Source organism: Homo sapiens, chromosome 15, assembly GCF_000001405.40.
Source record: "Homo sapiens chromosome 15, GRCh38.p14 Primary Assembly".
Classification (NCBI taxonomy): Eukaryota; Metazoa; Chordata; class Mammalia; order Primates; family Hominidae; genus Homo; species Homo sapiens.
In genome coordinates, this window is record NC_000015.10 from 89,625,856 (window position 1) to 89,647,969 (window position 22,114).

The 22,114-nt window shown below is 51.2% G+C and overlaps 2 protein-coding genes across 9 annotated transcripts in view, besides 1 other annotated feature; one reads left to right on the top strand and one right to left on the bottom strand.

The window, feature by feature from the left end:
* The window catches only part of TICRR (TOPBP1 interacting checkpoint and replication regulator), a 52,555-nt gene extending 50,387 nt beyond the window's left edge, over window positions 1–2,168 (top strand). For both annotated transcript variants that reach the window (NM_152259.4, NM_001308025.1), the window contains exons 21-22: window positions 81–206; window positions 1,101–2,168. In NM_152259.4, the coding sequence (NP_689472.3) occupies window positions 81–206; window positions 1,101–1,231 (257 nt within the window). In that variant the 3' untranslated portion in view covers window positions 1,232–2,168. The remainder of the gene's footprint in view (window positions 1–80; window positions 207–1,100) is intronic.
* The window catches only part of KIF7 (kinesin family member 7), a 45,741-nt gene that overhangs the window by 8,547 nt on the left and 15,080 nt on the right, over window positions 1–22,114 (bottom strand). For 2 of the 7 annotated variants that reach the window (XM_047432477.1, XM_047432480.1), the window contains exons 6-19: window positions 21,741–21,857; window positions 20,975–21,202; window positions 20,038–20,168; window positions 19,481–19,596; window positions 19,158–19,307; window positions 16,348–16,550; window positions 7,831–8,028; window positions 7,286–7,411; window positions 6,965–7,141; window positions 5,640–5,855; window positions 4,432–4,638; window positions 3,520–3,718; window positions 3,121–3,267; window positions 2,122–2,931 (exon numbers count right to left, since the gene is read on the bottom strand). In XM_047432477.1, coding sequence (XP_047288433.1) covers window positions 2,564–2,931; window positions 3,121–3,267; window positions 3,520–3,718; window positions 4,432–4,638; window positions 5,640–5,855; window positions 6,965–7,141; window positions 7,286–7,411; window positions 7,831–8,028; window positions 16,348–16,550; window positions 19,158–19,307; window positions 19,481–19,596; window positions 20,038–20,168; window positions 20,975–21,202; window positions 21,741–21,857 — 2,583 coding nt within the window. In that variant the 3' untranslated portion in view covers window positions 2,122–2,563. Of the gene's footprint in view, window positions 1–2,121; window positions 2,932–3,120; window positions 3,268–3,519; window positions 3,719–4,431; window positions 4,639–5,639; window positions 5,856–6,964; window positions 7,142–7,285; window positions 7,412–7,830; window positions 8,029–16,347; window positions 16,551–19,157; window positions 19,311–19,480; window positions 19,597–20,037; window positions 20,172–20,974; window positions 21,203–21,740; window positions 21,858–22,114 lie in introns of those variants that run through there. The other 5 variants (XM_011521531.3, NM_198525.3, XM_047432481.1 and 2 more) reach the window with 4 other exon arrangements.
* Window positions 2,909–4,108: an enhancer, noted in NCBI's record as "BRD4-independent group 4 enhancer chr15:90171995-90173194 (GRCh37/hg19 assembly coordinates)". NCBI's record gives its function as "activates an origin of replication core promoter dependent on BRD2, P300/CBP, MED14 and CDK7 cofactors, and independent of BRD4, by STARR-seq in HCT116 cells {active_cell/tissue: HCT116}" and the evidence as "EXISTENCE:reporter gene assay evidence [ECO:0000049][PMID:35650434]".

Below are 22,114 nucleotides of genomic sequence, written 5' to 3' on the forward strand. Positions count from 1 at the left end.
TGGGAGTTGCTTCTTGGGAGGCCTGGGCTTCCCGGTTGGGGGTCTGGGGACGCTGCTCTTACTATGTGGGATCTCTTTAGGCTCCACCCCACCTCCCAGCTGTGCCGTGCGGAGCTGCCTCTCTGCCAGTGCCCTCCAGGCTCTGACCCAGTCTCCGCTGCTGTTCCAGGGGAAAACACCTTCCTCTCAGAGCAAAGACCCCAGAGGTAATGTTTGTTGAAGGTCTAGGACCCTTTCCTGTGACAGACTGTCTGAATTCACCAGGGTTGCCAGGCAGCTCGATTCTAGAGGAGCCCCAGGGAGTGCCAAGTGTGGGATAGGTGACTTCGCGCCTACAGCGTCATGTGTGCCCTTCCCAGAGAAACTCCACATTAGAACTTGTGTGCATGTGAACAGAAGCCCCTCAAAATCCTGCTAAAATTCCTCGGTCCTCCTGAAAATGTTGACAGTCGTGGGCTTGCCGCAACATGCTGCTCATCTGCAGTCTAAGAATCTGAACAGGAAGGCGTTCTGAGCAGCACGAGTGATAGGCCTGTTTAGAGCTAGTTCCCCACAGCGGGTTTATCCGCATGTTCTGTATATTCGGTGGGACACAGTACTGACTGTAGTTATAATCAGCCTGCAGGCTCTAGGATTCCCCTTCCCCTTCCAAATCCTATTCCCAAAAGACAAGGATTTGGCCTGTTAACTGCCCTGGTTAGCAATGTTGCCTTCTGCTGCTAGAATCAAAGGGGGAGTGCAGGAGGAGGGGGCCTTTGGTGGTTCAGTTCCCTCAAGACCATGATATAAATCATGCAAAACAGCATAACCCCAGAGATCTGAGACCTAGAAAGAATACAGGATATTAACCTGAGGGAATTCAAACCACAGGTACTTTGCATTTTCAGAGCTGCTTCTTGCTGCCAGCACGGTGCATAGCTGTTAAGGGCAGGGTCCTTCTAAAAAGTGTAGGTACCATTTCTGTAGGATAAGCGAACCTCCAAGCAGTGCTGATTTTCTTAAAGTCTGTTTTTGTGTGTAACCCTCTGCAATTTAAGCCAATTTTTTTCAGTTCGGTCCTCTGTGACTCCTGCATGCTAAGCCTTTCTACCTTCTTCTAGATGAGGATGTGGATGTTCTTCCCTCCACTGTAGAAGACTCTCCTTTCAGTCGCGCTTTCTCCAGGAGGCGCCCCATCAGCAGAACTTATACACGGAAGAAGCTCATGGGAACCTGGCTGGAGGACTTATAGCCACAAACATTACTGAGCCCAAAAGATCAAGGAGTCAGCCAGGACCCTGTGGACATAAAGAAGTTGGATGCCTGGTCCCAAGCCTCTTTTGCCATGGTCAGTGTTCAGATTGCCATTAGAATGCCTTAGGGTTTTCTAATTCCCCTTATGGATCCAATCCATCTCCTGGCCCTGCCCCTTGTTGGGGAAGTTGCAGGAGGAGAGGTGGATGGCAATGTGATTGGTGCTATAACTCAGGCAGCCTGGGAGTCAGGAACCCAGACAAGGAATCCCATTCCAGCCTCACCCCAACCATGACCTTGGCAAGTCAGGGGGCCACTCTGCCTCATTTATGCAAATGGAGAAAGGCGCCCTCCCTGGGGTCCCTTGAGCTGCTGTAAGGCTGGGCTGCTGCGACACAGGCAGCGCTTTGTAAACTGTGAAGCCATATACGTGAAACTGAAGAGTGCATTGGGCAGTGGAAGCTATTTTTTGCCTTCCCTGTGTAACAGTAAAATCATCTCTAGTGACTGAGCACTCAGTACATTTTTGTTTAATGTTGGGCCTGAGGTTAACTGTGACCATGGTCCAGCTTGAGTGGCTTCTGGAGCAGCCACATTTTCAAGGACTGTCCAAGAGCCAGCCAGTTCAGGGCTCAGGCCTCACCCATTGCCCACTCCTGGGGAGACCATCACCTGGCTCATCGTTTCCACCAAGAGTGCCCCACAGGAGTGCCCCACAGACCCGCTGGACCAGCCTGCTGCGGGTCCTGGCCAGGGGTCTGGCTAACGGTGAGGGCTGACTCTGAACTGTCTCTCAGTCTCCAGAAAGTGTTCAAGCCTGTTGTGTTCCCAAATCTGATTCCTCCTATTGTCTTGTAAATCAAACTCTAAGTGAAAACTTCCCATTTGTCCCTTCAAAGATTTTTTTTTATTAAATGGTTTTTTAAGATCCTAAAGTCTCCCAGTTTCCCCTATATACATAAGACCATTTAAACCACAACCTGGTTACCACCGACCCTTTCGTGATGATTCTTGGCCAAACCCCTGAACTACAAGCACATCCATTTACGCCTGAAACCAGAATTGTCCTGAGATTCGAGCAAGACACAAGGCGGCAATTGGGTACCACAGCTTCATGGAAGTAAGTGGTGGGAATTTGCATATTATTTTGTTAAATGAGGGTCCAGTTCTTTTGGGCCATGGCCCAAATTTGTTGATCCCAGTGAGGGTACAGATGAGGGCCTGGATTTAGGGTGTGCGGTAAGGACTGCCCTTCACAGAAGCAAAACAGGCAGCTGCCCCTTTCAGCAGGCTCGGAGTCTCCCTCCAAGGCAGGGTCTGCCCCGAGGGCTTACAGGGGGTTTTTCCGGACATCAATCATCCCCGGGCTGGCTCGTCGCAGTTCCCGCCGGGGCTTGGACAAAGGCCCAAAGTTCCAGGGCAGGCCTGCCTCACCCACAGGAAGCACCCGCCCCACCAGGGGCTCAGCCGCCTCCCGCTGCCTCAGTTCCTCGGGGGACCCCTGCTCCTCACCACACAGGCTCGAGCGTTTCCAGGTCAAGGGTAACGGAGCGTGGACCAAGTCCCGCGTCTCCTCCCGGGTGCGGGGGGCCCCCTCAGTGAGGGGGGACAGCCAGAGAAGCTCGGGTGCCAGGTGGAGCTCATCTTCATTTCCAGGAGCCTGTCTGCCCTCCGAGCACAGGCTCCTCTTCTCCCCACCTGTCATGGAGAGTAACGTGTCCTCATCAGAAACAGGTGGCAACACCTTCCCGAAGCCCTAGCTCCCCAGTGCCCCAGCACAATAAGCAACCTGTGAATTGAGCCAATAAAGGCTCGAGGGAGAGTGGTCTCTAAGCTTTCCCCAAAGAAAGGGAACAGGTCTGACTTCAGAGCGCGACGAGGAGTTACCCCTGCTGTGGCCTACAGCGTTCACACCGCCGAGCTTCTGTTTCAGTTCCTGGTTTATCCACATGTAACGGCCCAGTTCCTTCTCCAGAGCTTGAATCCGGGCCTCATACTGCCTCCTGCTGTCTGCTAACCCTTCACCGAGGTGGTCTAGAGTGGAAAGGTCGAGGAGAGGGTGGTGAGGGCTGCAGGCGGGGCAGGCGGCCAGGGCTGTGGGGGTGGGGGCTGTGGGCTGGGTGGGGGCCGGGGTTGTGAGCGGTGGGCCGGGCCACCAGGGCTGTAGGTGCAGGGGCTGTGAGTGGCAGGGGCGGTGGGGGGAGGGAGGGGGGTGCAGGGCGGGGAAGATGGGGGTGGGGGGGATGGAGGGGGCCGGGGTTGTGAGCCATGGGCCGGGCTGCTCACCTCGACTCTGCTGCAGGAGCAGCTGCATGTTCTGCTCGTGCTCCTTCTGCTGCAGGGTCAGCTGGCGGTCCATCTCCAGGCGCTGCCGCTCCAGGGCCACCTCCAGCCAGTACACCAGCCTCTGCTGCTCCTCCAGCTGCATCTCCAGTTCCGAGAAGGCAATCTGCTGCTGGTGCTGCTCCTCTCGGAGCGTCACCACCTGTCCCAAGACCCAGCCAGGCTCAGCCCTCATCATGACCCCTCTTCATCCAGCTAATCCTCAATCACAGACACAGTATTGGCACACTTGCCACCACGGCACTAAGAAATCACCAGGGTCTTCCCTGCTGAGCCAAGACTCAGCCTCAGACACCTCAGCAGTGCTCTAGTTATCTTCCAACGATCAGAGCTGGCTCTCACCTTATCTGCTATCTCTGCCACAAACCCTTTCCTAGCCACACACTATGGAGCTGGGCAGAGCGTCAAGTTGTGGGATTTCATCTAGACCAACCTCAGCACTATGGACATCTGGGACCAGATAATTCTTGGTTGTGGGGGCCTGTCCTGTGTGTTATAGGATGTTTAGTAACATCCCTGGCCTCCACCCCCACCACTGTGACAACCAAAAGTATCTCCAGCCATGGCCAAATGTCACAAAAGGGCAAAAACTTCCCCTACTGAGAGCTACTATTGTGGCCATGGACCACCCTGAGGTTAGCCAATCAGAGCAGAAGTGGGGGGCGGGTAGGAAACTGGGTCTTAGTTTCACAAGTAAAATAGGCTTTAAGGTCAGGCGGCCCTGCAGATGAGTTGGTCCTGATTCTGTCCCCCAGTCTGGGAGGAAACGGGATATCCGCTGGAGCAGCTGCCATGAGACACCTCCCCACACGTGCCGCTGAGGAGGAGCTGGGGGGCCATGGGCTGCTGGCCCACCTTGTCAAAATACTTGCAGAGGAGGGCTCTGGTCTCTGAGGATGAGAGGTAGCTGAGCTTGGCCATGAGGTTCATCTCGCACTGGGACAGCAACGAGGCTGAGGCCCGAAGCACCCGCTGGCGGCATGTGATGGCCTCATTCTTATACTCAATGGCAGCATCCAGGGCCTCGATGGCCTCATCCAACTGGAACAGCGTCCGCTCCTCCTGCAGAGACGGGCACGCGTGGAGGAACAGCACCCACTGCCTGAATGCTGAAGTCCTGGGCAGACATGCAACAGCCAACACGTAGCCACAACTGGGCCTTAAGGGTCCCCTCGTCCCAAGGGCCAAGTCAGCCCATCGAGAGAGGTGCCCCCTGCTCACTGTCACAGCCCCAACCCCAGGGTGAGCTGGGGGCACTGCTCAGAGGTGGCCTGCTCAACTGCAAGCCTCTGTGAATGATCTACATTCAGGAAGTTCAGAGCACCCTAACCAAACAAAAGGCATGGTTGGGACAGCCACGGAGGCACCACGGTGTCTGCTGGGTAAGCTTCTACAGATGGGGATACGTTCTAAGAAATGCATCATTAGGCGTTTTCGACGTCGTGCAAACATCAGAATATACTCACACAAACCTAGATGGTATAGCCCACCACACACCTAGGCTACAAGCCTGGACAGCATGTGACTGTACTGAATACTGTAGGCAGTTGTTAACCATGGTGAGTATTTGTGTATCTAAACATAGAAAACGCACAGTAAAAATGCGGTGTTATAATTTTCTGGGAGCACCATTGTTGTATGAGCTGTCATTCACTGAAATGTCACACAGCACATGACTATAGTCACATAGGCTTTCTCTCTGCTCAGGGAACACAGATGTGTGGGCATGAGGTGCACTGAGTATGCGCCTGACACTCCACACACGAAGCCGAGACGTGTGGGCAGGTACTCGAATGCAGCACAGAACAGGAGTCCAGGCTCCAGCCAGAAGAGAGCTGAGAGGTCAGCACAGCCTGGCCCCTGTGTCCCAGCCAATGAGGCCAAAGCAGGGGCAGAAGGGCCAGGCCAGCCCTCCCCAGCCCCCACCTCCACCTAACAGTGAAAACTTGGGTCTGCCGACAGCAAGGCCCAGCACCCGCAGAGGGCTGGAGCAAGGGCTGAGGAGAGCAGACAGACAGGCATACAATGGCACCAAGGGGCTGAGCCATGGGGCCGCAGGGTACCTCGGGGGACAGCAGACTCCCCTGCCTCAGCTTGCCGTCGATCTCCAGGCGCTGCTTGAGCAGCGAGTCCTTCTCCTGGCGCAGGCTGTCGATCTCCCCGCGGATCTGCTGCTGGCTCTGGGCGCTGCCCTGCCGCAGCTGCCCGCTCTTCTCGGACAGCTCCTTCTCCAGGTGCTCCAGCCGGCTGGACACTCGCACGATGTCCTCGTTGAGGGCCTGGGGGCAGAATCACCAGGGATTAGAGAAGGAACAGGCACTGTCCTCACAGGGGGGACAGAAAGGGCCGGATGTTAAGGAGGACTTGCGTCCTTCCCTCAAGAAACCAACACTCCAAATGTTCTGCTCAGCAGGGAGACCAGACTTAGTTCACAGAGACTCCAGGAGGCGGGGCTAAAGGGACCAGAGCATTTGCAGAGGGGCACTCAGAGATGGCGAGAGGAGGATAAGGACCAGAGGGACGTGGCCCTCCTGGCAAGAACAGGCAATGGGTAGGGGTGGGAGGAATGATCTGTCACTGAGATGACCGGACTGGACAGTGATAGGAATTGGCCAAGCCCTAAAGGCCTTTCTGGGAGCCAGATGCGGGAGGAAGTGAGGGCTCTCCTGGCGGAGGGAAGTTACGGATCATTCCAGTAGGACCCTGGATCCTCCTGGACATCAGAGTGATGCGTGCTGGCAGGAGCAAGGCTCCTGGCCTCTGCGGGCCTAGGACACTGGGCGTGTGGCCCAAGCCCCTGTACTGGAACAGGCCCTGCATCAATGACGGCCATCCCCCTCCAGCCATCATGGTAACATTATGATCCCATCTGACAGAAGACAACGCTGTGGCTCAGAAGCTGACCTTCCTATTCTAGATGGAGTAATGATGCCAGGCGGAGAAGTCTCTTTCTATTTGGCTATACCACCTTCCTATACCTGCGCCTCCTCATTCTTCCTGCACAGGCCCTGAGGAGGGGGTTAATGAGTGAAATGAATTGGAGGATGGACACTTAAGAGAGGTTCTTCTATGCATACATCTGTAACTGTGTCATAAATATCTTGAAGCCCTACAGCTCATGGGGATGCACAGGATAGAACCCAGTAGGACAGAGCTTCCTCTGTCTGGAACTTACCTGGCAGAGATACCACCTAGAAGAAACTCTCCTGTCTAGACCTCGCCTGGCAGGGACATCACCTGGCAGGTTTATCACTTGGAAGGACCTCACTTTGCTAGACCTCACCTGGCAGAAACTTACTTGGCAGGAGCTCACCTGGCAAGATCTGTCCTGGCTGGACCTCACTTCACTGGACCTCACCTGGCAGGATCTCTCCTGGCAGGGCCTCACCTGGCTGGATCTCAGGCGCTTGCTCTCCAGCCCCGTCTTCTCCTGCATCAGGGCCTCCTTCTTGGCCAGGATGGCCTCCCGCTTGTGGAGCTCCTCCCCCAGCTCCTCCAGCGCCCGCCGCTGCTGTAGCACCTTCTCCATCTCCTGGTCCAGCCACTTCTTCTGCTCCTCAATCTTCTAAGGAAAAGTAGGGAGGGAGGGAGGGAACTCAGGGCCCACCTCTGGCTGTGTCAGCCGCCACTCGAGGTTCACTGGGGAGAAAGGTGCACCCACCAGCCAGCCCCCAGGGGAGCCCTGGGTGCGGACACAGCCTGGCCCCACCTGCTGCTGTTCCAGGCTGACCACAGAGCCGTTGCTGCCACTGCGCCTCTTCCTCTGGAATGCCGCGATCTCTTCCGTCTTAATCTTCAGGATCTTCTGCTGTTGCTCATGCTTCAGCTCCAGCTCCTGGGTGAGGAGCTCAGTGGGCAGGGCTGTTTATGGTGCCAGCATCTTACCAGAGCCTGCCACCGATCCCAAAGCCCCCAGGAGTGCCTGCCCACTCCCAAGAGGGCCCTGCGAAGTGTCCCCCAGACCCATCCCACACAAATCTCCCTGGAGACCGGCAAATAGACGCAAACACTTAGAAATAAGCCCCACAAGATGCCAGTCACCTCATATACCTCATCTCACTGAAGTCTCACCCTGGCCTTGAGTTTCCTATAACATTCCACATTTTCAGATGAAAAAACAGACTCAGGCTAAGTGACCTGCTTTCTAAGGTCACGTGGCTGTGGGTTGCAAACCCTGCCTGGGCTCCCCTGGCTGGGCCGCCAGCTCAGCCTATTGGCCTGGACAGAAGGTCCCCACCCTGCCGTGAGCCTGACCTTGACGCGGTGCTGCCGCTTGCTCATTTCTGCCTCCAGGCGCCGCTTCTGCTCCGTCTCCTCGCGAAGCCGCCTCTGCAGCTGTCCCTGCTGCTGCCGCATGAGCTGCACGTTCCGCTCGAGCTCCTGCAGTCGCTTCTCACTCTGGGCCGACAGTGACACCAGCCGCTCCGTAGCCTGCTTCTTCTCCTTCAGCACCTGGGACCCACACAGTCTTCACTGGGCCATGCACGGGGCTACCGCGAGCCTGCCATAGTGCTGGGCACTCAACAAGGGCAGGCAGATAGAGGGCAAATGGGTAGGTGGGTGATAGACCAATAATAATAACAGAGGCCGGGTGCGGTGGCTCACGTCTGTAATCCCAGCACTTTGAGAGGCTGAGGCGGGCGGATTACTTGAGGTCAGGAGTTTGAGACCAACCTGGCCAACATAGTGAAATCCTGTCTCTACTAAAAATACAAAAATTAGCTGGGTTTGGTGGTGGGTGCCTCTAATCCCAGCTACTCAGGAGGCTGAGGCAGGAGAATCACTTGAACCCGGGAGGCAGAGGTTGCAGTGAGCCGGGATCGTGCCACTGCACTCCAGCTTGGGCAACACAGCAAGACTCTGACTCAAAAAATAATAACAGGACACAGGAGCCAAGATGGCCGAATAGGAACAGCTCCAGTCTACAGCTCCCAGCGTGAGTGACGCAGAAGACGGGTGATTTCTGCATTTCCATCTGAGGTACTGGGTTCATCTCACTAGGGAGTGCCAGACAGTGGGCGCAGGTCAGTGGGTGCGCGCACCGTGCGCGAGCCGAAGCAGGGCGAGGCATTGCCTCACTCGGGAAGTGCAAGGGGTCAGGGAGTTCCCTTTCCTAGTCAAACGAAGGGGTGACAGATGGCACCTGGAAAATCGGGTCACTCCCACCAGAATACTGCGCTTTTCCGATGGGCTTAAAAAAGGCACACCAGGAGATTATATCCCGCACATGGCTCAGAGGGTCCTACGCCCACAGAGTCTGGCTGATTGCTAGCACAGCAGTCGGAGATCAAACTGCAAGGTGGCAGCGAGGCTGGGGGAGGGGTGCCCACCATTGCCCAGGCTTGCTTAGGTAAACAAAGCAGCTGGGAAGCTCGATCTGGGTGGAGCCCACCACAGCTCAAGGAGGCCTGCCTGCCTCTGTAGGCTCCACCTCTGGGGGCAGGGCACAGACAAACAAAAAGACAGCAGTAACCTCTGCAGACTTAAATGTCCCTGTCTGACAGCTTTGAAGAGAGCAGGGGTTCTCCCAGCACGCAGCTGGAGACCTGAGAACAGGCAGACTGCCTCCTCAAGTGGGTTCCTGACCCCTGACCTCCGAGCAGCCTAACTGGGAGGCACCCCCCAGCAGGGGCAGACTGACACCTCACACGGCCGGGTACTCCAACAGACCTGCAGCTGAGGGTCCTGTATGTTAGAAGGAAAACTAACAAACAGAAAGGACATCCACACCAAAAACCCATCTGTACATCACCATCATCAAAGACCAAAAGTAGATAAAACCACAAAGATGGGGAAAAAACAGAGCAGAAAAAATGGAAACTCTAAAAAGCGGAGCGCCTCTCCTCCTTTAAAGGAACGCAGTTCCTCACCAGCAACGGAACAAAGCTGGATGGAGAATGACTTTGACGAGCTGAGAGAAGAAGGCTTCAGATGATCAAATTATTCCGAGCTATGGGAGGAAATTCAAACCAAAGGCAAAGAAGTTAAAAACTTTGAAAAAAGTTTAGAAGAATGTATAACTAGAATAACCAATACAGAGGAGTGCTTAAAGGAGCTGATGGAGCTGAAAACCAAGGCTCGAGAACTACGTGAAGAATGCAGAAGCCTCAGGAGCTGATGCGATCAACTGGAAGAAAGGGTATCAGTGATGGAATATGAAGTGAATGAAATGAAGCGAGAAGGGAAGTTTAGAGAAAAAAGAATAAAAAGAAATGAGCAAAGCCTCCAAGAAATATGGGACTATGTGAAAAGACCAAATCTACATTTGACTGGTGTACCTGAAAGTGACGGGGAGAATGGAACCAAGTTGGAAAACACTCTGCAGGATATTATCCAGGAGAACTTCCCCAATCTAGCAAGGCAGGCCAACATTCAGATTCAGGAAATAACAGAGAACGCCACAAAGATACTCCTCAAGAAGAGCAACTCCAAGACACATAATTGTCAGATTCACCAAAGTTGAAATGAAGGAAAAAATGTTAAGGGCAGCCAGAGAGAAAGGTCGGGTTACCCACAAAGGGAAGCCCATCAGACTAACAGCGGATCTCTCGGCAGAAACTCTACAAGCCAGAAGAGAGTGGGGGTCAATATTCAACATTCTTAAAGAAAAGAATTTTCAACCCAGAATTTCATATCCAGCCAAACTAAGCTTCATAAGTGAAGGAGAAATAAAATACTTTACAGACAAGCAAATGTTGAGAGATTTTGTCACACCCAGGCCTGCCCTAAAAGAGCTCCTGAAGGAAGCGCTAAACATGGAAAGGAACAACCGGTACCAGCCGCTGCAAAATCATGCCAAAATGTAAAGACCATCGAGACTAGGAAGAAACTGCATGAACTAACGAGCAAAATAACCAGCTAACATCATAATGACAGGATCAAATTCACACATAACAATATTAACTTTAAATGTAAATGGACTAAATGCTCCAATTAAAAGACACAGACTGGCAAATTGGATAAAGAGTCAAGACCCATCAGTGTGCTGTATTCAGGAAACCCATCTCACATGCAGAGACACACATAGGCTCAAAATAAAAGGATGGAGGAAGATCTACCAAGCAAATGGAAAACAAAAAAAGGCAGGGGTTGCAATCCTAGTCTCTGATAAAACAGACTTTAAACCAACAAAGATCAAAAGAGACAAAGAAGGCCATTACATAATGGTAAAGGGAGCAATTCAACAAGAAGAGCTAACTATCCTAAATATACATGCACCCAATACAGGAGCACCCAGATTCATAAAGCAAGTCCTGAGTGACCTACAAAGAGACTTAGACTCCCACACATTAATAATGGGAGACTTTAACACCCCAATGTCAACATTAGACAGATCAACAAGACAGAAAGTCAACAAGGATACCCAGGAATTGAACTCAGCTCTGCACCAAGCGGACCTAATAGACACCTACAGAACTCTCCACCCCAAATCAACAGAATATATATTTTTTTCAGCACCACACCACACCTATTCCAAAATTGACCACATACTTGGAAGTAAAGCTCTCCTCAGCAAATGTAAAAGAACAGAAATTATAACAAACTATCTCTCAGACCACAGTGCAATCAAACTAGAACTCAGGATTAAGAATCTCACTCAAAACCGCTCAACTACATGGAAACTGAACAACCTGCTCCTGAATGACTACTGGGTACATAACGAAATGAAGGCAGAAATAAAGATGTTCTTTGAAACCAACGAGAACAAAGACACAACATACCAGAATCTCTGGGACACATTCAAAGCAGTGTGTAGAGGGAAATTTATAGCACTAAATGCCCACAAGAGAAAGCAGGAAAGATCCAAAATTGACACCCTAACATCACAACTAAAAGAACTAGAAAAGCAAGAGCAAACACATTCAAAAGCTAGCAGAAGGCAAGAAATAACTAAAATCAGAGCAGAACTGAAGGAAATAGAGACACAAAAAACCCTTCAAAAAATTAATGAATCCAGGAGCTGGTTTTTTGAAAGGATCAACAAAATTGATAGACCACTAGCAAGAAAAAAAGAGAGAAGAATCAAATAGATGCAATAAAAAATGATAAAGGGGATATCACCACCGATCCCACAGAAATACAGACTACCATCAGAGAATACTACAAACACCTCTACACAAATAAACTAGAAAATCTAGAAGAAATGGATAAATTCCTCGACACATACACTCTCCCAAGACTAAACCAGGAAGAAGTTGAATCTCTGAATAGACCAATAACAGGAGCTGAAATTGTGGCAATAATCAATAGCTTACCAACCAAAAAAAGTCCAGGACCAAATGGATTCACAGCCGAATTCTACCAGAGGTACAAGGAGGAACTGGTACTATTCCTTCTGAAACTATTCCAATCAATAGAAAAAGAGGGAATCCTCCCTAACTCATTTTATGAGGCCAGCATCATCCTGATACCAAAGCCGGGCAGAGACACAACCAAAAAAGAGAATTTTAGACCAATATCCTTGATGAACATTGATGCAAAAATCCTCAATAAAATACTGGCAAACCGAATCCAGCAGCACATCAAAAAGCTTATCCACCATGATCAAGTGGGCTTCATCCCTGGGATGCAAGGCTGGTTCAATATACGCAAATCAATAAATGTAATCCAGCATATAAACAGAACCAAAGACAAAATCACGATTATCTCAATAGATGCAGAAAAGGCCTTTGACAAAATTCAACAACTCTCAATAAATTAGATATTGATGGGACGTATCTCAAAATCATAAGAGCTATCTATGACAAACCCACAGCCAGTATCATAATGGGCAAAAACTGGAAGCATTCCCTTTGAAAACTGGCACAAGACAGGGATGCCCTCTCTCACCACTCCTATTCAACATAGTGTTGGAAGTTCTGGCCAGGGCAATTAGGCAGGAGAAGGAAATAAAGGGTATTCAATTAGGAAAAGAGGAAGTCAAATTGTCCCTGTTTGCAGATGACATGATTGTATATCTAGAAAACCCCATTGTCTCAGCCCAAAATCTCCTTAAGCTGATAAGCAACTTCAGCAAAGTCTCAGGATACAAAATCAATGTACAAAAATCACAAGCATTCTTATACACCAACAACAAACAGAGAGCCAAATCATGAGTGGACTCCCATTCACAATTGCTTCAAAGAGAATAAAATACCTAGGAATCCAACTTACAAGGGATGTGAAGGACCTCTTCAAGAAGAACTACAAACCACTGCTCAAGGAAATAAAAGAGGATACAAACAAATGGAAGAACATTCCATGCTCATGGGTAGGAAGAATCAATATCATGAAAATGGCCATACTGCCCAAGGTAATTTACAGATTCAATGCCATCCCCATCAAGCTACCAATGACTTTCTTCACAGAATTGGAAAAAACTACTTTAAAGTTCATATAGAACCAAAAAAGAGCCTGCATCACCAAGTCAATCCTAAGCCAAAAGAACAAAGCTGGAAGCATCACACTACCTGACTTCAAACTATACTACAAGGCTACAGTAACCAAAACAGCATGGTACTGGTACCAAAACAGAGATATAGATCAATGGAACAGAACAGAGCCCTCAGAAATAACGCCGCATATCTACAACTATCTGATCTTTGACAAACCTGAGAAAAGCAATGGGGAAAGGATTCCCTATTTAATAAATGGTGCTGGGAAAACTGGCTAGCCATATGTAGAAAGCTGAAACTGGATCCCTTCCTTACACCTTATACAAAAATCAATTCAAGATGGATTAAAGACTTAAATGTTAGACCTAAAACCATAAAAACTCTAGAAGAAAACCTAGGCATTACCATTTAGGACATAGGCATGGGCAAGGACTTCATGTCTAAAACACCAAACGCAATGGCAACCAAAGCCAAAATCGACAAATGGGATCTAATTAAACTAAAGAGCTTCTGCACAGCAAAAGAAACTACCATCAGAGTGAACAGGCAACCTACAAAATGGGAGAAAATTTCTGCAACCTACTCATCTGACAGAGGGCTAATATCCAGAATCTACAATGAACTCAAACAAATTTACAAGAAAAAAACAAACAACCCCATCAAAAAGTGGGCAAAGGATATGAACAGACACTTCTCAAAAGAAGACATTTATGCAGCCAAAAAACACATGAAAAAATGCTCACCATCACTGGCCATCAGAGAAATGCAAATCAAAACCACAATGAGATACCATCTCACACCAGTTAGAATGGCAATCATTAAAAAGTCAGGAAACAACAGGTGCTGGAGAGGATGTGGAGAAATAGGAACACTTTTACACTGTTGGTGGGACTGTAAACTAGTTCAACCATTGTGGAAGTCAGTGTGGCAATTCCTCAGGGATCTAGAACTAGAAATACCATTTGACCCAGCCATCCCATTACTGGGTATATACCCAAAGGACTATAAATCATGCAGCTATAAAGACACATGCACATGTATGTTTATTGTGGCATTATTCACAATAGCAAAGACTTGGAACCAACCCAAATGTCCAACAATGATAGACTGGATTAAGAAAATGTGGCACTTATACACCATGGAATACTGTGCAGCCATAAAAAATGATGAGTTCATGTCCTTTGTAGGGACATGGATGAAACTGGAAATCATCATTCTCAGTAAACTATCACAAGAACAAAAAACCAAACACTGCATATTCTCACTCACAGGTGGGGGTGGAACAATGAGAACACATGGACACAGGAAGGGGAACATCACACTCTGGGGACTGTTGTGGGGTGGGGGGAGTGGGGAGGGATAGCACTGGGAGATATACCTAATGCTAGATGACGAGTTAGTGGGTGCAGCGCACCAGCATGGCACATGTATACATATGTAACTAACCTGCACATTGTGCACATGTACCCTAAAACTTAAAGTATAATAATAATAAATTAAAAATAATAATAATAATAACAGTATACTAATAATGGTAAATACTACGACATTTACGCACCAGGCACCACACTAAGAGCTCTGTGTATATTAAATGGTCCTAATGAGCCTACAAAAAGTGTAATTATGATTATCCCTATTTTACAGATCAGAAAACTGAGGCAGAGAGGTTAGGAAACTTGACCAACGACACATAGCTAGTAAGTGGTAGAACTGGGATTCAAACCTGAGCAGTCAGGCTCCAGAGCCCATGCTCTCAACCACTCCACGATATTGTCTCTTGGACATTTGAACTGAGAAAATAAGGATGGGTGGGCATCTGCAAGGATGGACGGATGGAAGGGTGGGAGGGACAGATGGCTAGGTGGGCGAGATCATATGAAGGTAAAAAAATAGGATAGGCCAGGCACAGTGGCTCATGCCTGCAATCCCAGAACTTTTGGGAGGCCAAGATAAGTGGATCACCTGAGGTCAGGAGTTCAAGAGCAGCCTGGCCAACATGGTGAAACACTGTCTCTACTTAAAAAAAAAAAAAAAAAGAAAAAAATTAGCCAGGTGTGGTGGCACCTGCCTGTAGTGGCACCCCGCTACTCAGGAGGCTGAGGCATAAGGATCACTTGAACCCAGGAGGCGGAGGTTGCAGTAAGCTGAGATTGCACCACAGCACTCCAGCCTGAGCAACAGAGTGAGACTCCGTCTCAAAAAATAAAAAATGAAAACAACAGGATGGAGACCGTGATGGGCTGAATTGTGTTTCCCCAAAATTCCTATATGAAAGCCCTAACCACCAGCACCTCAGAATATGACTGCGTTTGTAAAGAAGGTCTTTAGAGAGGTGATTAGTTTAAATGAGGACATTAGGGTGGGCCCTAATCCAGTATGACCAGGGTCCTCATGACAAGAGGAAGAGATACCAGGGCTACAAGCAGGGGAAAGGCCGTGTCAAGACACAGCCAGGAAGTGGCCGTCTGCACACCAAGAAGTGAGGCCTCAGGGGAAACCAGACCTGTAGACACCTTGAGCTCGGACTGACAGCCTCCAGAGCTGGGAGAAACTAAACTTCTGCTGTTTAAATCCCCCTAGTCTACGGAAGTTTGCTATGGCAGCTGTAGCAAACTAAGACAGAGAATGCATGAATTAACAAAAGGGGATGGAAGGGGTGGATGCACCTGTGGATAAATGGACAGGTGGTCAATCCACTGATAAAAGGCTAAACCAGCTAGGCGTGGTGGCTCACACCTATAATCCCAGCACTTTGGTAGGCCCAGGTGGGCGGATCACTTGAGGTCAGGAGTTCAAGACCAGCCTGGCTAACATGGAGAAACCCCGTCTTTACTAAAAATACAAAATCAGCTGGGCGTGGTGGCACGTGTCTGTAATCCCAGCTACTCAGGAGGCTGAGACAGGAGAATCACTTGAACCCAGGAGGCGGAGGTTGCAGTGAGCCAGGATGGTGGCACTGTACTCCAGCCTGGGCAACAGAGTGAGACTCTGTCTCAAAGAAAGACTAAACCGATGGCATGGGTTTGACGGACACATGGACCAACGGATAGACAGACAAGGGAGAATGGGATGGAGGGGTAAGCGAATGGAGAGCTGAAAGGGGGACCGGGAGACAGAGGACTGCACGCTGCAGGGTAGGTTTCTTTAGACGCCCACCCTTCACCCTCTCGTTGCTCTCCCAGGTGGTCTTCAGGCAGGACCTGCCCCCTGCCTCTACTGTGTGTAAAGCTGGGCGGACCCCCAGCTTCTATACCAGCCTCACCCTGCAGGGCCAGGGCTGGAGCACAAGGTTCCACAGTGAACTTGGGCCTCAGAGCCCACATGTCCTGGTCCCAAGGATGGCAGCCTAGGAGGCAGGAGTCACCCCAGCACCCCACCCTGAGGCCCCGAGACTAACCTGCACCTGGCTCTGGGCCGCAGCGACCCTCCTGCGGAACTCCTGGAGCCGAGACCGCTCGCCAGCATCCTGGAGCTCCTTGCCCTCGAGCTCCCGCAGCTGCCTCTGGCCTTCACTCAGCTCGGCCCGCACCTGCTCTGCCTCCTGCTCCAGCTCCCGGATACGCTGGCTGTGCTGGCGGTTCAGGGCCTGAGCTGCCTTTCCTGGAAGAAAGCGGGAATGTCAGCACAGGCAGCCCTGCTCCACCGAGAGGGCCAGCTGTTTGTCCCCCTGGGAGGTTTCCCAGCCCTTGGACACCTGTGTGGGTTTCACCAAGCCTTTGCACCACCAGTACCACAGTTTACTTAATATTTTTCTTCAAATCAACTCTATTTATTTATTTATTGAGACGGAGTTTGCTCTTTTTGCCCAGGCTGGAGTGCAGTGGCGCAATCTTGGCTCAGTGCAACCTCCGCCTTCCAGATTCAAGTGATTCTGCTGCCTCAGCCTCCCAAGTAGCTGGGATTACAGGCACGTGCCACTACACCTGGCTAATTTTGTATTTTTAGTAGAGATTGGGTTTTGCCATGTTGGCCAGGCTGGTCTCGAACTCCTGACCTCTGGTGATCCACCCACCTTGGCCTCCCAAAGTCCTGGGATTACAGGCGTGAGCCACCGCGCCCAGCCTCAACTCACCTTTTAAATAAGCCTCATCCACTGCAGCGACCCAAGGAAATTACAAATTAGTTTTATTTTTACCAAATGCATTCTAAAATAAATATGTAACCTGAACCTGTATATAATTAAGCCTTTAGAACTAACTTTCATTTCCAGGAAATCTGGAGGACAAAAGAATGAGCTAAATGACACCACAAAAAAGCAAACAGACAAACCCCAAACGTGGGGTTTGGGACATTCAGCAGGATGACTGAGAGAAGGGAGATGTCAGAGACCTCAGAAACAAATACAGTCGGCCCTCTGCATCTGTGGGTTCCACACCCATGGGTTCAACCAACCATGGATGGAAATTATATTTTTCTAAATAAATGGCTGCATGTGTACTGACCATTTACAGATTTTTCTTATCATCATTACCTAAACAATACAGTAAAACAACTATTTACCCAGCTTTTACATTGTATTAGGTATTGTAAGAAATCTAGAGATGATTTAAAGTGATTTAAAGGAAGATGTGGGTCAGTTACTGTAAATACTATACCACATTATTTACTAAACCTTTTTTGAGCATCCACAGATTTTGGCATTCACGGGGTCCTGGAACCAATCCCACATAGATATCAAGTGACGACTGTATGATGTGTGTGTGGAACAAATGTGGAGCCTGATTCAAGCGATCCAGCTATAAACAGACACTGCTGATAATGGAGAGAATGTGCTTATGCTCTGGTCATTAAGAGGACTGTGCCGGGTGCGGTGGCTCACGCCTCTAATCCCAGTACTTTGGGAGGCTGAGGTGAGCGGATCACGAGGTCAAGAGATCGAGACCATCCTGGCCAACATGGTGAAACCCCGTCTCTACTAAAAATACAAAAATTAGCTGGTTGTGTTGGCACACGCCTGTAGTCCCAGCTACTCGAGAGGCTGAAGCAGGAGAATCACTTGAACTCGGGAGGCAGAGGTTGCAGTGAGCCAACATCGTGCCACTGCACTCCAGCTTGGCAACAGAGTGAGACTCCGTCTCAGAAAAAAAAAAAAAAAAAAAGAGGACATTAGTTTCATTAGGTGTGCTGATGGTATTACAGTTAAGTAAAAAAAAAAAAAAGTTCCTATTTTTAAAGCAGCACACTGGGAGGTGTAGGGAAGAAAGGACATGAAGTCTGGCATGTCCTTCAAAATATTCAGCAAAGAAAAAAGGGAGAGGAGGTAAAACAACTGTGGAAAACTCTTGGTAACTACTAAGTCTGGAGGATGGGTATATGGGACCCATGGTACTCGTCTCATGTCTGGTTGAAAATATTTATGATGAATTTGGTAACAAATTCATTAACTATTAAAATATAAACGCTCCACTGGCCAGCACCTAAAACTACCCCGTGTCCCCTCCTTCACTCATATCACCAGTCATAGGCATAACACAATTTGGAGACGCTCAGTCCTCCATGACACTCACTGTGTGCTCCCCAGGACTGAGAGATACTTCGCCCAGCACAATGGCTGAAACATTGCAGGCACTCGATAAGTAAGAAGAAGTGCCGGGCATGGTGGCTCACGCCTGTAATCCCAGCACTTGTGGACACTGAGGCGGGTGGATCACCTGAGGTCAGGAGTTCAACACCAGCCTGGCCAACATGGTGAAACCCCATCTCAACTAAAAATACAAAAAAAAAAAAAAATTAGGTGGGTGTGGTGGCGGGCGCCTGTAATCCCAGCTACTCGGGAGGCTGAGGCAGGAGAATCGCTTGAACCCGGGAGGCAGAGGTTGCAGTGAGCCAAGATCACGCCACTGCACTCCAGCCTGGGTGACGAGTGAAACTCTTTCTCAAAAAAAGAAAAAGAAGAAAAAAGAAGTACTGCTTACTAAGAGCTATTCTAAGCACTTCACCTGAATTAACTCACTTCACCCTCACAACACCCCTATTCAGTAGGTATAACGACTATCCCCATTTTAGAGATGAAAAAACTGAGGCACGGAGGGTTTATGCTACTTGCTCAGGGTCACACAGCTGGAAGAGGCTGGGCTGAGTATCAAACCTAGGCCATCCGGCCCCTGCTCCTAACCACCTCATTGTTGAAATCCCTCTAGAACAGTGCAGAAGTAACGATGAGAAGTCCCCCTCGGGTGAGAGGCCCACCTGATGCCCACGCCTCACCTGTGCGGACCAGCTCGCCAATAAGCTCCTCCTTCATGCGGATGTTGATAGCCAGCTCCCGGATCTTCTGCTGGGCCTGGGCCAGCCGCCACTCTGAGGCTGTGGCAGGGGGGACCTGGCGGGCCTGAACTCGGGCCTTGCTCCCACCAACTGCTGCAACAGGCAGCCTGTCAAGGTTGCTGCCCCAACTGACAGTGGGGGAGACAGAGGAGTGGAGAGCAGGGGCTGCCAGGGATGGTGGGTGGGACTGTCCCAAGGTGGCTGGCCCAGAACCGTGGAGGGGCAGTGGGGAGGAGGCCCTCTCTGCATCCCACCCAGCTTACCTCTGGACCCTGGAATGGCTGCATCCAACTCCTCAAGGCAAAGCTCTGGGCCCTTCCTCTCTGGCAGACTCCCTGGGCGTGCCCCCGCCCTCTGACTGCAGTTGCTGATCCTATTTCTGGAGGACAGAAGCAGGAGGCCATGCTCCTCCCCAGCCCCTGCCCCAGCCTAGCCACCCCCAGGCCTGGAGGGAAGAAGAGAGGCCACCGGGTCTTCCACCTCCCAGGGTCAATATAAACCCAGGATGTGAGTCTGGCAGAATCAGGAGTCCAGGGGCAGAGTTTTAGGAGGTACAGGGCAGCTGGGGGCATAGAGGGCCACCCTGGAGGCTGAAGTCAGGAGGCCTGGGCCCACCTTGTATCACACTCGCTCCAGTGAGACCTTTCGGCTCAGTGCCCCACAGCTCTCCCCCAGGGGCTGGCCAGGGCAACATGAGGGCATCCTAGGACCCAGAGGCTTCCCCACTGCTGTCAGGAGAGGAGACGGTGCGATCCCCAGCCTGCCTAGCCCTGGGCCCTGAGCAGGTCCTTGTCAGGTGGGGGCAGTGGGTCCCACTCACCTGCGCAGGTGTAAGGTCCGCCTGGGCGGCTCCTCCTCCTCCTCTTCCTCCTCTGAAGCAGCTGAAGAGCCACTTCCCAGCCTGTTCACCTCAGTCAGCAACTCAGCTCCAGCCTCCCTGCCATTTGTCACCTGCTAGGGGAGTGAGCCATTTCCCATCCCAAGTCATCATCCCTGCGATATACCCCACCTTGCCTGCCCTCCTCATATCTCTCCCTCCTCAAGCCCTGCCTTACCTTCGTGATCCAGCTCAAATGACCCCTCTGGCAGCCTTCTGAATCTCAAGCTGGGGTGAGAGCTTCCTCCCTCCCCTCCCCTCCCGCCTGCTTTGGCTCCCATGATACCTGGTACTCCTCAGGTGACAATCTGCCCTTTCTACCTTGTGTACAGGTCATGTGCACCCAAGTCCTATCTCACCACCAATTCCCTGCCAGAGTGATGGGTGAACATGAGACTTCTGCCAACCCCCAGCTTTGAGAGCTGAGATGACCCAGGCCTAAAAGCCCCAGAGGACCCAGAACTTTCAGGCAGGAGTAACCTTTGTCCAAACAAGGTTCCCCACGTGGAAAAGTGAACTTGCAAAGAGAGCCATCCAAAGACAGAGGGGGTGGTCTGAAAGGTGATGAGCTCTCCGTATGCAGAAGTGTGCAAGGTTTCCACCCGATGCCGGAAGCCTGAACCCCCTCTGTAACCTCCTCATTCCAAGCGATCTTCAGCTACCCCAGGGATGCCCGATGGCACTGCACCCTTCTGAGAGGCCCAGAGTCATTCAAATCTTGGCTCTTCCTCTGGGGACAGCTGAAAGCAGCCTCTCGCATCTCACAGCCAGTCCCATGAAAGCATGAGTGGGGGACACGTGCCCCAGTGCCCCCTTCCCCTGCCCCGAACTTGACCAGTCCAGCAGGGCCCACAGACACCCAGCCTCACCCTCTTCTCACCTCTCCCCTCTGCTCAGAGCCAACTTCATCTCCAGGGAGGCAGGCAGGCGGCACCATGCCCAGCACATGGGCGTGGGCACCCCCCAGGGGGGCTGTATGAGGTCGAGGCACAAAGGACCCGGGAGGCAGGCCATTCAGGAGCCGCGGGCCCCCCCAGCCTGGCCGCACCAGCTCTAACCGCAGCCGCAGTTCCACCATCTCCTCCTGCTGCTCACGCAGCCGGTCGCTCTGCAAGACATGGTCCAGGTGCCAAGGGGGCATGAATGCCCCGACAGGCAGGAGTGTAGGAAACTGAGGAACAGGTCTGAGGCCACTCCACCGTCTCTGGGCTGAAAATGAGGAGTGTCAAATACTCCTCTCCTCCCCAACAACTCTGTAGGAGTTCAGACTCAAACTCACCCCACAGATCCCATCACACTCCTATCCTGCCAGACCGCCACCTCCAACCGCCGCCACCAGAGGGCGCCAGGAGCAATGCTGACCTGGTGACGCCCGGCTCCAAGGTCCCCCGCTGCTGCCCCTCCTGTCCCCTCTCCCGTCCAAGCTCACACCACCCAGCAAAGCTGCCCTGCCTGGCGGTCCTGCACACCCACCTGCGCTGTTGTGATGCTCACCTCCACACTTTCGCTCATGTGCACCTCCTGACTCTACACCCCTACCCCGCAGTACCCTACCCTAACTCCCTCCCATCCTGAGAAACTCAGCTCTGCCTTCCCTTCATCCTCCTCTGGGAAGCCTTCCCCGCACTGTGAAGCGGGCGCCGCACCTGCAGTTTGTACTGCTCCATGGCGTCCTCCAGCGCAGCCAGAAAGTCTCGGTTCTCCTCCTCCAGCCGCGCCACCTGGTTCTGCAGGGTCAGCAGCTGCTGCGCCCCCTCATCCTCCTATAGGGCAGGGAGAGGGGCTTCAGGGGCGGGGGTTGACAGGGCGAGCTGGACACCCGGCCTCTTCTTGTTTAGCCCTGCTTTCTATCTACTCTTCCAAGCCCTACCTGCAGTGGGAACTCCAGACCCACTGGTGGGAGGAAACCCCAGACCCCAGCTGGCCTGGGTGCCCTCTGCAAGCCATTTGGGTCATCTCTTGTAATTATCCATCGTATTTGTATTAATAATATCACCACTATTATTAGGAACAATTTACT